This window comes from Homo sapiens, chromosome 4, assembly GCF_000001405.40.
Source record: "Homo sapiens chromosome 4, GRCh38.p14 Primary Assembly".
Lineage (NCBI taxonomy): Eukaryota > Metazoa > Chordata > Mammalia > Primates > Hominidae > Homo > Homo sapiens.
In genome coordinates this window covers 95,729,020-95,742,164 of record NC_000004.12, presented here as the reverse complement: position 1 = coordinate 95,742,164, position 13,145 = coordinate 95,729,020, and the positions used below count along the sequence as shown (strand labels likewise).

Below are 13,145 nucleotides of genomic sequence, written 5' to 3'. Positions count from 1 at the left end.
ATATGGAGGAGAGAGAATTGTATAAGTAAGGTGGTCATAAAAGAACATTTAAAGGAAGTTTTATTTGAGCAGAGATCATAATAAAATGAGGCAGAAAAATATGCTGATATCTAGGAAAAGAGCATTCCAGCCAGAGGTAACCATAAATACCAGTCTCCAAAGGAAAGCAAACTTAGTGTGTTTAACAGCAAGACCACTGTAGTTGAAACAGTATAAGCAAAGTCTAAGTATAGGGAAATGTTGCTAAGAGAGATGTGGGCCTTGGTAAGTACTGTGGATTTTATTTTAAGGATGATAGACTTTGAAAGATTTTGAGCAGGATAGCGGCGTTTTCTGATCTATGTCCTTAAAGATCACTCAGAGTAACTATGGAAACTTTGCCATATGGGGCAAGTATACAGGCAGGGAAATCAGTTAGGTGACTACTGCCATTATCTAGGCAAGAGGGATTGCTGGCAGCTTGAATTAGAATGGTAGCCATGGAGTTGGTGAGAAGTTGTCAGGTTTGGGATATAGGAAAGTAAAGTGCCAGCGGGCTTACTGATGGATTAGCCATGAAATATGAAAAAAAAAAAAAAAAAAAGAGTTAAAGGAAATAAGGATGATTACTTTGCATTGACCTGATGAAGTGTGAGTGCCATTATCCAAGATGGGTGGGACTAGGGAAGGAACAGGTTTGGGTTAGGGGATTCCCTTTTAAACATAAAACATTTGAGATTCCCAATAGACTTTATTTATGTATTTGTATTTATGTATGTATTTATTTATTGAGACAGGTTCTCACTCTGTCACCCAGGCTGTAGTGCATGATATCCACTCACCGCAACCTCCACCTCGTGGGCTCAAGGGATTCTCATGCCTCAGCTTCCCAAGTAACTAGAATTACAGGCAAATGCCACCATGCCTGGCTATTTTTTTTTTTTAATATTTTTTGTAGAGACAAGGTTTTGCCATGTTGGCCAGGCTGGTTTCGAACTCCTCGCCTCAGGTGATCACCTGCCTCAGCCTCCCAAAGTGCTGGGATTACAGGTGTGAGCCATTGTGGCTGACTCCAGTAGACTTTAAAGTAGAGATTTCGAGTAGATTTTTGAATGTACAAGTGTAAAGCAAAAGAGAAAGAGAGGGCTTAGAGATAGATATGTGGAGGTCTGATCATATGGCTGATCATTTAAAGCTACTGTTTCAAAAATTAAGTATAGGAGGAAAAGAGTTCAGGGTTCTGAAGGATTCAGTAAAGTAAAAGAAGAGGAGGCTGAAAAAAATAAATACTAAGTCTTTTTTTGAGAGCCAAGAAAATTAAGTGTTTTAGAGTAGGGCAATATTTTCAAGTCCTGCTGAGATTCAGGTTGAGAATGAATGATTTGGCAGCCTAAAGATCCTTGGTAACCTGGGCAAGCGAGAGCTTAGGAACAAAAGCCAGAATGAAGTAGGTTGAAAAGAGAAAGAAAGTAAGGATCCATGCATCTGTCTTCGAAATGGGTCTCTTGTCACGTGCAATTTTTTCTTAACTATCCATAGGCCACTAGCATAGCCTTTGTAAATGTAAAACAAATTGTGAAATTCTGTTGTTTGAATGCATATGCTTCTATTACAAATAGCAACAATTCTCAAATCTTAATGTTTATAAAAGCAGCTGAGGTATGTCTATTATAAATGCTTCCTACTATCATTGATTGTGATTCACTTGGCATGAGAAAAGGCATAGTAACCACATTTTTAACAAACACTTCAGGTAATTTTAGTGTAGGTGATTCAAGAACCTCAGGTAATAGTTAGACCCTTGATTATTTCTCCACTCACTTTACCTGCTCTTACTTCGTCCTAGGATTCTGATTCACCTTCATATTTCTGGAAAACTCTTATTTATCCTTTAAAACTCTGAGGTCACTCCCTTAAGCCACTCTCATATTGTCAGTTGTGGAGCTCAGTAAATATTTGATAAATAAGTGGAATACATACAACCAGCTTTCCTTTGCTTTCAGGTTCAAGCTAACCAAGCCCCAGGTGGTTTAGAAGTTTTTGCCTGTCCCGAGTATTCAGAAAATTCAGTTAACTAAATTCCATTTACATGCAAAATGTTAGTAAATTTCCCCAAATGGGCATGATTAACATTCTTCTCACAGCCAGGACAGACCTACAATTTTCAAATGAGGCTGTTTCTTCTAAATAATTCCAAACATCTCTCTGTATTTCTGAAGGAAATGTCAAATGACTTTGCCCTGGAGTGCATTAGTGATCAGAGCATCTGATCACATTGGTGTCATGACTGAATCAAGGGACATTTCCTTTGATATCAGCCTATTTTAAAAATGGGGATTTCCTCTATTCTAATTTAAGCTCCTAGAAATGGTCCTCTTGCATAACTATACCTCCATCCTGAAGTTGGCTTTTTTGGTTTATTTAAAAAAGAGAAAATTACCTAATTTAGATTTAGTTTTGCTCTTGTTGAAGCAAGTTTTTTTCCCCCTCTGCGCCTCATTTTGTTGTTATTCCTTTAGATCAAACTTCAAAGAAAAAGTCTGATGAATCAACTATTCATTTACTGAAGCTGAATTTTTGCTTGCCACTAGTTTTTCTACTGTGATGCTCCTTTGATTTCTGTTCTGTCTGCATCTTTTATGCCTTTCATGCATGTGGAGAAAATTATAGTGTAGTCTTTACTCAAAAAAGAAATTTCATCATATCCCCAAATCTTGGAAAATTTAAAGTACTTTTCCAAGTTTGAAAATGATTTTAGACAGAAGCCTTAGACACAGAAATTAATAAATAAGTCTATTGTATTCTAAATAATTGAACTTTTCAGTAGCTAAGGCTGCAGAACAGACAGGAATCAATTTCACGAGGGATATCCTAGACTGAACATCAAGTGCAATGTATAGTTCCTGAGCCAGTTATCACCTGGCTTAGAAAAATATTTATTAAAATATAATAAAGTTAAGACCAGTTGGGCAGAAGCAGTACAGTGCAGTGGCCAAGGGTTTAGGATTTTGTAATAGCCCTTATCCTGTTTTTGCCACTACTAGCTCTCAGCTTTTAATGAAGTTAATCATAGTCACCTTTCACTTTTATAAAATGGTAATAATAATATGACCTATTTTGTATATTTGTACTGAGGTTATATCAGATGATTTATATGGCTTGGCACAATTCTTAATTCATAATAATTTAATAAACAGAAACTACTAGTGTTATAATTATTAGTAAGCTTTTGCTAAAATTGTATGTGACCCTGATAACTGGTATAGCCACCAGGACCACCCACAGTTGCTGCCATAGCCCTCAAGGATGTCCACCAGCCATTAGTCCCCAAGATATGAGTCACAGAAGTTTGAGAAGAAGCTGTAGCAGCTTTCTCATGTCTTCACAGAGGAAGTAGATGACAAAGTACCAGGCACTGTTCTCCAAATTCTGATTGAAAGGGCAGTGTTCTATAATATGTTATATATTTTCATGGTGCATACATGTTATTGGATGCTTGCACTACTGCTGTGAATTTTACTTAATAAACTTTGATTAGGTCTTTTTGAGCAGGAAACAAGCCCAGCAAGAAGCTGTCAGGATGTGATTATCCTCATATCTCCCTTATGGCATCTTTTTTAATATCTTATCTTCAGAACTAATAAAATTAAATTTATACAGAACTCAAGAATATGTGTTAGCACTCAAATTTATTCTTTCATGCCCAAGAGTTACTAATACTATTAATAATAATACATAATAATATCATTTTAAAACCAAGAGAATTTTGGTCTTCTTATAGCGTGTATGGTTCTAACAGTATGAATCATCCTAAATTAGATGTGGGTCTTAGCAGCTGTTAACAAAAACCTTTAAACTCAGAATACATACAGCTCCATATTATTACAGCTCCATATTATTTATACACTCTGCATATTTTATGAATAATATCCAATAAAAATGCAGTGAGAAGAGGCCACTGAAGTATGGAATTAAGAATGTAAATAACAACATGACCTGTGAAGTAGATGTATAAGACGAAAGGAATACAACATATGACTAGATGATAGTACAGAAAAGACAGGGAAAATATAAAATAAAACAAGAACTTACATTTTATGATCTTCTTTATCCTTACTTTAAGTAGTAGATTTTCCAAGATGACCAGTTATTGAGCTATAGCTATGTAGCAGATACTGCTGGCACTTTGCTTTACAATCCCTAATTCTCACATCTCTAGTGATCCTCATTATAAATACACTGTATTTAGTATATGAAGTCTCAGGAACTTAGGGGTCTTGCCTAAGATCTAATAGCCTGATGGGCAAAGCCTGAAAGTGAACACATGTTCACTTTTTATATGGATCTAAAAGACACTTTGAGAGTCTGCATATAATCTTAAAAATTAATTCACTTATGATAGGGGATTTGTCACTTTAGTTTGTCTTATGATAATTTGACAAAAATCAAACTTTTGTTCTGTTTATGATATGTTTTTGGGAGAGCCATTAAATCCCTCAAGACTCCAGTTTGTTTATTTGTTCAATAAAGAGGTTAGATTCAATTGAAATTTCTTTTAGGATGAAATTGATGTCATCATTGACAAGTTGCCTCAGCAAATGGCATAACTGATATAAGAAAAGTAGTAGGAAATGTCCTTTAGTTTATCTCACATAATGTATTTAGGTGTGTCATAATGTTCTACTCATTTTTGTTAATCTGTTGTTAGTTATGCTAACGCATGCTCATGATGAATGAAAATATTTGCAGAAAGATTTGTTTTTATTTTATTTTGAATTATAAAGTATTTCACATCTTTATTAGTTTTAAATTTTAAAGAAAATGATATTTTTGAAAGTGTTTTTTTCAGCCTTGTTGCCCTCATAAATTTCATTCTTAGAAACACTTAGTGTAAACTCAGCCTGTCTTTCTATTGCATTATAAATCATGGTTGCTAATACATACAGTTTACCAACCTGGAATATGTAAAGGGTAGATGTGTGCTACATTTCCTTTCAAAAACACTGACTTTGAAATCTAGGTTTAATTTTAAATTGTCATTGAATTTGGACATTTATTTGACTATCTGCCTCATAAAGACTGGATATTAATTTTTATAAGACATTATCATTAATTAACTTCCATGATTAAAGAGACAGCAGTAAATAGCTCTGTTCTCCCATAGCAAAAACATGCATAAAGGACAATAATTCTGGTCCATGAGTAGTGTACCATTGACCTTTGAAAAGTATGGGTTTAAACTGTGTGGGTCCACTTACATGAAAATTTTTTCAATAACTATATTAGAAAAGTTTTTGGAGATTTTTAACAATTTGGAAAAACTCACAGATGAATCATGTGACCTAGAAATACCAAAAAATTAGGAAAAAGTTAGATATGTCATGAGTTCATTAAATATATATAGACATAGTCTATTTTAAAATTTTACTACCATAAAATATGCACAAATCTATTATAAAAAGTTAATATTTATCAAAATTTACACACACAAATATTACAGACCATACAAGGCACCATTTGCAGCTGAGAGAGATGTAAACAAATGTGAAGATGTACTATTAAATTATACCTGCATTAAATGTATACTATAATACATACCATACTACTGCAATAATTTCATAACCACCTCCTGTTGCTATTAGGGTGAGCTCAAGTTTTTCAAGTGTCTGCCTAAAACACCCTGTGACACTAGTTTTCTCTGCGTGAGCAGTTTGTCTCCTCAGTAAATTATGTATTACAGTAAAAAGTAATCCTTTAGGATTCTTGTGTATTTTTTATTTTGTTTAGTGCAATATTGTAAACCTTGACAAACATCCTGGGACCTATATGTAGTGCCACTAGTGATGCTGAAAGTGCTCCCAAGAAGCATAGAAAAGTCATTAAATTACAAGAAAGAGTTGAATTGCTTGACATGTATCATAGACTGAGGTCTGCAACTGCAGTTGCCCACCATTTCAAGGTAAATGAATCCAGCGTTAGAGCTCTTGGTAAAAAAGTAAAGGAAATCCAAGAAGCCCTTGCTGCATCTGCATGAGGAGATGTGAAAACTCTGCCCTTTTTACAAAATATCTTTTTATCTTATATTGAAACTGCAGTATTTACTGTGGGTGCAGGATTACTACAAGAAAGGCTTTTTTATAGATAGACTCTAATATGATTCTAGAAAAAGTGAAGTCATTATGTGACATATATGACAATGTAAAGCAAAAGGAAGGTGAAGGATCTAAAGCTGGAGAATTTAATGCCAGCAAAGGATGGCTTGATAATTTTAGGAAGAGGTTTGGTTTTAAAAATGTCAAGGTAACAGGGTAAGTAGCTTTTGTTGACCAAGAGGCAGTAGATGAGTTCCAAGATGCCATTAAGAAAATTACTGAGGAGAAAAGACTCCTGCCTGAATAGATTTTTAATGCAGACAAAAATGCCCTGTTCTAGGGGATTAAATGCCATAAAGGACATTTATTAGTAAGGAAGGTAAGTTAGCACTAGGATTTAGCCAGGAAGGGATGGGCTATCTCTACTGTTTTGTGCAAATGCAGTCAGGAATATGATCAGTACTGCCTTTATCTATAAAGCTGTTAATCTCTGAGCCTTGAAGGAAAAAGATAAACACAAGCTGCCAGTCTTTGGTTTATAAACAATAATGCCAGCATAAGAACACTTTTTCTGAATTAGTTTCATTGGTGCTTTGTCCCTGAAGTCAGGAAGCACCTTTACAGTGAGGGACTACCTTTTAAAATTCTTTTGATAATGTGCAATGCCCCAGGCCACCCAGAACCCCATCAGTTCAACACTGAAGATGTCAAAGTGGTCTACGTGCCCCCAAACACAATGTCTCTAATTCTGCATCTAGATCACAAGTCATAAGGATCTTTTAACTCTTCACACGTGGTACTCTATAAAAACGATTGTCAATGCTATGGAAGAGAACCCCAATAGAGAGAACATCATAAAAGCCTAGAAGAATTACACCATTGGGTATGTTATCATCATCATAGAAAAGGCCATGAAAGCCATCAAATCCAAAACAATCAATTCCTGCTGGAGAAGACTATGTTGTGCCTGATTTCACAGAATTTATGACAGAGCCAATCCAGGAAATTATGGAACAGACTGTGGCTATGAAAAAAAAAAAAAAAGGTTTTTGTTGCCATTGCTTTTGATGCAAAATTGACAAATGAGATTTAATTAAACTAAAGAGCTTCTGCACAGCAAAAGAAACTATCATCAGAGTGAAAAGGCAACCTACAGAATGGGAGAAAATTTTTGCAATCTATCCATCTGACAAAAGGCTAATATCCAGAATCTACAAGGAACTTAAACAAATTTACAAGGAAAAAAAACACAATACCATCAAAAAGTGGGCAAAGGATATGAACAGACACTTCTCGGAAGAAGACATTTATGCGGCCAACAAACATATGAAAAACTCATTATCACTGGTTATTAGAGAAATGCAAATCAAAACCACAGTGAGATACTATCTCATGCCAGGTAGAATGGCAATCATTAAAAAGTCAGGAAACAACAGATGTTGGAGAGGATGTGGAGAAATAACGCTTTTACACTGTTGGTGGAAGTGTAAATTAGTTCAACTATTGTGGAAGACATTGTGGTGATTCCTCAAGGATCTAGAGCCAGAAATACCATTTGACCCAGCAATGCCATTACTAGGTATATACCCAAAGGATTATAAATCATTCTACTATAAAGACACATGCACATGTATGTTTATTGCAGCACTATTTGCAACAGCAAAGACATGGAACCAACCCAAATGCCCATCAATGATAGGCTGGATAAAGAAAATGTGTCATATATACACCATGGAATACTATGCAGCCATAAAAGGATGAGTTCATGTCCTTTGCAGGGACATGGATGAAGCTGGAAACCATCATTCTTAGCAAACTAACACGGGAACAGAAAACCAAACACTGCATGTTCTTACTCATAAGTGGGAGTTGAACAATGAGAACACATGGACACAGGGAGGGGAACATCACACACCAGGGCCTGTCGGGGGGTGGGGGGCTAGGGGAGGGATAACATTAGGAGAAATATCTAATGTATATGACAGGTTGATGGGTGCAGCAAACCACCATGGCACATGTATACCTATGTAACAAACCTGCACGTTCTGCACATGTATCCCAGAACTTAAAGTATAATAAAAATAAAATAAAAATAAATTTAACCATAAAAAAGGTGAGGGGTGAACGGTTGCAACATATGAATCTTGGAGAAATTCAAGAGCTAATAGACACCACACCAGAGGAATTAATGGAAGAAGACCTGTTGGAGAAGACCTGTTGGAGATGAGTGCTTCCAAAGTAGTACCAAAAGATAAAAACAAAGACATGGAAGAAGCAGTGCCAGAAGCAAGTTGCTATAAGTTAATCTAGCAGAGGGGTTCTCATTTTTCAAGATGTTTTTGACTTCTTTTACAACATGGATCCTTGTATGATACAAAACTAAAGCATATGGTGGAAGGAAGATTAGTACTGTATAGAAATATTTTCAGAGAAATGAAAAAGTAAAAAGTCATATATTATGATGAATTTCCATAAAGTTACCCCAACTGTGCCTGGCTCCTCTGCCTCCCCTTCTACCTCCTCCATCTCATCTAACTCTTGCCACTCCTGAAACAGGGAGACAAACTCTCCTCTTTCTCCTCCTCCTCCTCAGCCTACTTAACATGAAGATGACGAGAATGAAGACATTTATGGTGATCCATTTTAACTTGATGAATAGTAAATACATTTTCGCTTCCTTATGATTTTGTAACAACATTTTCTTTAGTTTACAGTATATAATGCATATATTGTAACAATACAATATATAATAGATACACAAAATACGTGTTAATTGACTATGTTATTGGTCAGGCTTCTTGTTAGCAGTAGTTAAGTTTTAGGGATATCAAAATTATACATGGATTTTTGACTGTGTGTAATCATTCGCAAAAGTACAGAAAAAATCATGTATTCATTTATATTAAAGATTCAGCTAAGAAAATAAAGCATTGTAATGCTAAAAACAAAAGCCATACTTCTAGCCATAAGTTTCAAATTAATATTCATTGGGGATATGTGATACCCAGCTACAAAATTAGTTTCAAAATCTCCTATTCATTTAATAGTCAAAATAACCAGAATTGACATGTTAGCTTTTGTAGTCATGAAAAAGGTTACAGAATAGGTTACAGAACATGATTACAGAATAGAAGAAATTGAGGAAATTTTCTATAGAAAACAATCATATTTTTGCAGATGGTAAAAACATATGAGTATATATATAAGAAAAGCCAAAATATTTGGTATAATGATCTGCCTGGCTATTCATTAGTTATTTCACTCCACTTTATTTTATATTGCATAGAGATACACTCATGCCTCAGAATCATTATAAAATACACAAATGTAATTCATAGAAAATTTTTGTTTACAATATATGCATTTGCTTTTTCTTCCACGTGATTGCAAATAAATAGCATAATTTAACTTATCCATATAACTTGCAGCTGTTGAGATGTTTCCAAATATAAATATTGAGCAAAGAAATACTAAAAAAATGAAATGTGCTAATGGTATTATAAGTAAAATATATATATATTCATGATATTTTCAGACCACATTGTTTTCTGTACAATTATTTAAATGGTGAAACCAATGTTTCTATCATCTAGATGATGGTTAGAAAAAAGCATTTTTCATTTAAGTATACACTGAGCTGCCAAATTTCAAATTATACAAAGAAACTCAAGTGTCAGGCTCAGTGCAATGAAGAATACTTTTCTCCTATAAAACAGCTTAATGGCACAGAGCTTGCATGAGTCATACATATCCAGACCTTGAACTCACTGATGCATTCAGAAGAAGCCAAAGATTAATGTTTAATAAAGAGCAGGTCAGCTCTGGCCATTTTAATTGCAGGAAGATGGTTTGCAATCATTTGGTGCCTTAGGCCATTGTGGTGTTCTCTTGACTATTCCACAAAAGAAATCAATCTTGCTTTTCTAAACTGTTCTGATAATCAGCAGTAGAAACCAGATTTTTAACCAAATTAGAAGTTATTGTTCAATATTATGTCATACATTTGCAACTGTTTCTTCTCAAAACACACACTGGGCTACAAATCCAAGAAGCAATTTTTGTAGCGTGTTTTCTCATTTCAAAGTAATTAATAACACTACTGAAGCCACATGGCTAATAATAGCTAGCTTTTATTGAGCATATACTATGTGTCAGTAACTTTTCTAAGCAGTAAATCAATAATTTATTTAATCTTCACAATACCCTTCTGAGGTAGATATAAAGTCCCTAACCTATAAATGAGAAAATTGAGCACAGGTTGTTTAAGTAACTTGCCTGTATAATAAAAGCTGGAGTCAGGATTCAAATCCGGGTTGTCTGGGTTTAGCAGTCACCCTCCTAATGTAAGCTATGCATGAGATACGTGATTACAAGCAAGTTACCTATTCTTGCTGAGCTAATCTTTCCTATCTATAAAATGCGAATAATCTTGAGGATTTTTTTTTTTAATTTAATGGTATAAAGACCATTATTTGTCAGGGACTTTTTTGCTGTTGTTGCAATGAATGGAAGTATACTTACGGTACCTGTAGCCACCCAGGTACAACCATAAACCATTCTATGCGTTTTAACCAGGTGAGAATTAAGTAGGACTTCATTGCACAGGTAACAGAAAAGAGCTAAGAAGCCAAAAAGGGCAATGAAGCAAACTAAAGATTAATAACAGCACAAAGCAGCTACCCCTGCTAGGCTGGAAGGACATGGGAGGTTAGCAGTGCTACCTGAGTCAGACAGTGGCAAAGGTAGGGAGCCACAAAGGAGATAGCTGCTCTGAAGTCACTGCCCAATGCAGAGAGAGAAGGGAAGTTATATCCTGTTTCTCCCTTCTTCCCGGCTCCTCCGGAAGTCAGCTGACACAGGAGACGGAAAAGCATGACCCAGGAGATGGAAAAACATAACCATCAGAGGCCAGTCCTCCCACCAGAGATCCGACCAAAGCAGCTGAAGAGTGAGGAAAGGATCGGGGATCAAGAAGTCCATGAGAAAATCATAACAAAATTGTAAATCCTAACAGATATCAAGTTTTACATCTCACTCTTCTATATTTCATTTCAATTTTGCTTGAGGATACTTCCTCCACTCTTACATCTCTCAGCCTATTAATTGCCACATTGCACTGTTAAGATTTGTGTGAATGCCACCTTAGTAAAGTAGGGAAGTTTTGATGTATAGTAATCATATTTTGAGGATTATCATGATTTATATATAATGTGATAACCTTGACTTTGCTTCCAATCTCCATATTTAGTATTAAGGTTTTTGATGTGTTCTATTTTGTTTTTATTTGTATTAATGATTTCCCATAGAAAGCTAAAACTTTGCCCCATGGTCTAAGTTAGAAGTGAGAAGCAAATCAGAAGATAAAAGGAACTCACCTCTGATACTAGATGAAGACTTTGCAACCAAAGTTTTATTTATAGGTGACAGAAAGAATGTGATAAACTAGATCTTCAGTAACAGCTTTGTAGTAAATGAGAATGGCTGTTTGTTAATCAACCACTAGTGAAAATCAGGGTCATGCCCTTCAATTTTACTTAAATTATACAGGGGACCATATTGTGAATTTCTGATGTTTTGGCTTGACATACTTAAAGATGCATTTCAGTATCCCTTTTAAGAGGTCTATAAGTGATGGGGACAGGACGCAGAGAAATTCTAGGCATAAAAGGGCAGGTTCCCAGTGAAAACCCCACCCTCAAGCCAAAAAGCCTGAAACTGCGGCCCAAAGTGACAACTTACATCCCCGTTTACCCACTCAAATGTTGCCTTTTTCTAAACTCATGACCCCGCCCCTCCCTATCCTGTGCCTGTAAAAATCCCAGACACAGGTGGTAGAATGGACTGTGGCTAGATATCAGAGAGAAGTGGCTTGACTTCAGAGGGACAGCTTGATGGCATACCTTCAGAGAAGAGTCCCCCAGGAGAGAGCCAGACTCCAGGGGAAGATTACCTATCTGTCCCTCCCCATTTCAGCTCCCCTTCCCGCTGAGAGCCACTTTCATCAGCAATAAAATACCCTGCGTTTACCATCTTTCAATTCGCTTGTGCAACCTCATTTTCCCTGGATGCCAGACAAGAGCTCAGGAGACACGAGTGTAGATACAAAAGGCTGTCAAGGCAAAGGGCCCACTGAGCTGCAATGTCAGAGGTAAAAGAGACGGTAACCTGCCCCTGGGGTTTTGGGGGTCGCACATAACCCCACAGGGATGCTGCTGGGGGTACCGCATGAAGTTTGCTCCTGCTAGCCTACAAAAGCAGTTGGCTGGTTCCTGCATTCGCTCACTCCATTTCCTGTACTCATTCATTTGCATGCTCCCTCCTGTGAGGAATTGAGAGCAGCTGGCTGAGTAAACAAGGCACCTCTGTCGCGAGTCCCGTGAAGGGTCCGGGGAAATATCCTGTATCATAAGTATATGAAACGTCTATATATTCTATGTTAATATTTCATCATTTATATGTTAGCTATTTTACATTTACACAGAAAGAAAGAGTCAAAAGTGAAGCGATTGCTAGTTGGGTTTCCTAAGAATAGACCATAAGCCCTAGATTTGAATGCAGGACGTTTACTGAGGAGTGCTCTCAGGATCACACTTGTAGCCCACTGAAATGAGCTGGGTTGGGTGAAAAGAAGCCTTAGACTGCTATGCAGTCACAACAAAGATCTCAGCTACCTTGCCAAAAGCCCTGGAGCTAGGATGAGCACTCAGAGCTGTCCAACCCTGGGGCAAAGGAGCTGGGCTTTTAAAACTCAACATTCATCAGTCATTAGAGGTAGGCTATTGCCCAGGAAGGGAGTGACCTTTGGCAATGGAGCTGAAGCCAATTTCCAAGTGGAAAATCACAGTTGAGAGGTGTTATCTACCAACACTCCTAGCATCTAGAGGAATGAGGGCTTCAGGCCTCAACATGGGGCAGGAGTAATAATTTCAGCATTCACTGCAATAGCAACACTCAATATCCAGAAAGTACTACATACTAATGAGAAGATGACTGGCTGAATTTATTAATTGCTATAAATGTTAATTTAGGTTTTATCCCAGTTTTTTGGATACCATTTCCTCAATCCTAGGTACA

At 36.4% G+C, this 13,145-nt stretch overlaps 1 annotated feature.

Moving 5' to 3' along the window:
- Positions 12,048-12,643: an enhancer, noted in NCBI's record as "OCT4-NANOG-H3K27ac-H3K4me1 hESC enhancer chr4:96650673-96651268 (GRCh37/hg19 assembly coordinates)". NCBI's record gives its function as "activates a minimal SCP1, AML or CMV promoter by ChIP-STARR-seq in naive H9 embryonic stem cells {active_cell/tissue: H9 hESC(naive)}" and the evidence as "EXISTENCE:reporter gene assay evidence [ECO:0000049][PMID:30033119]".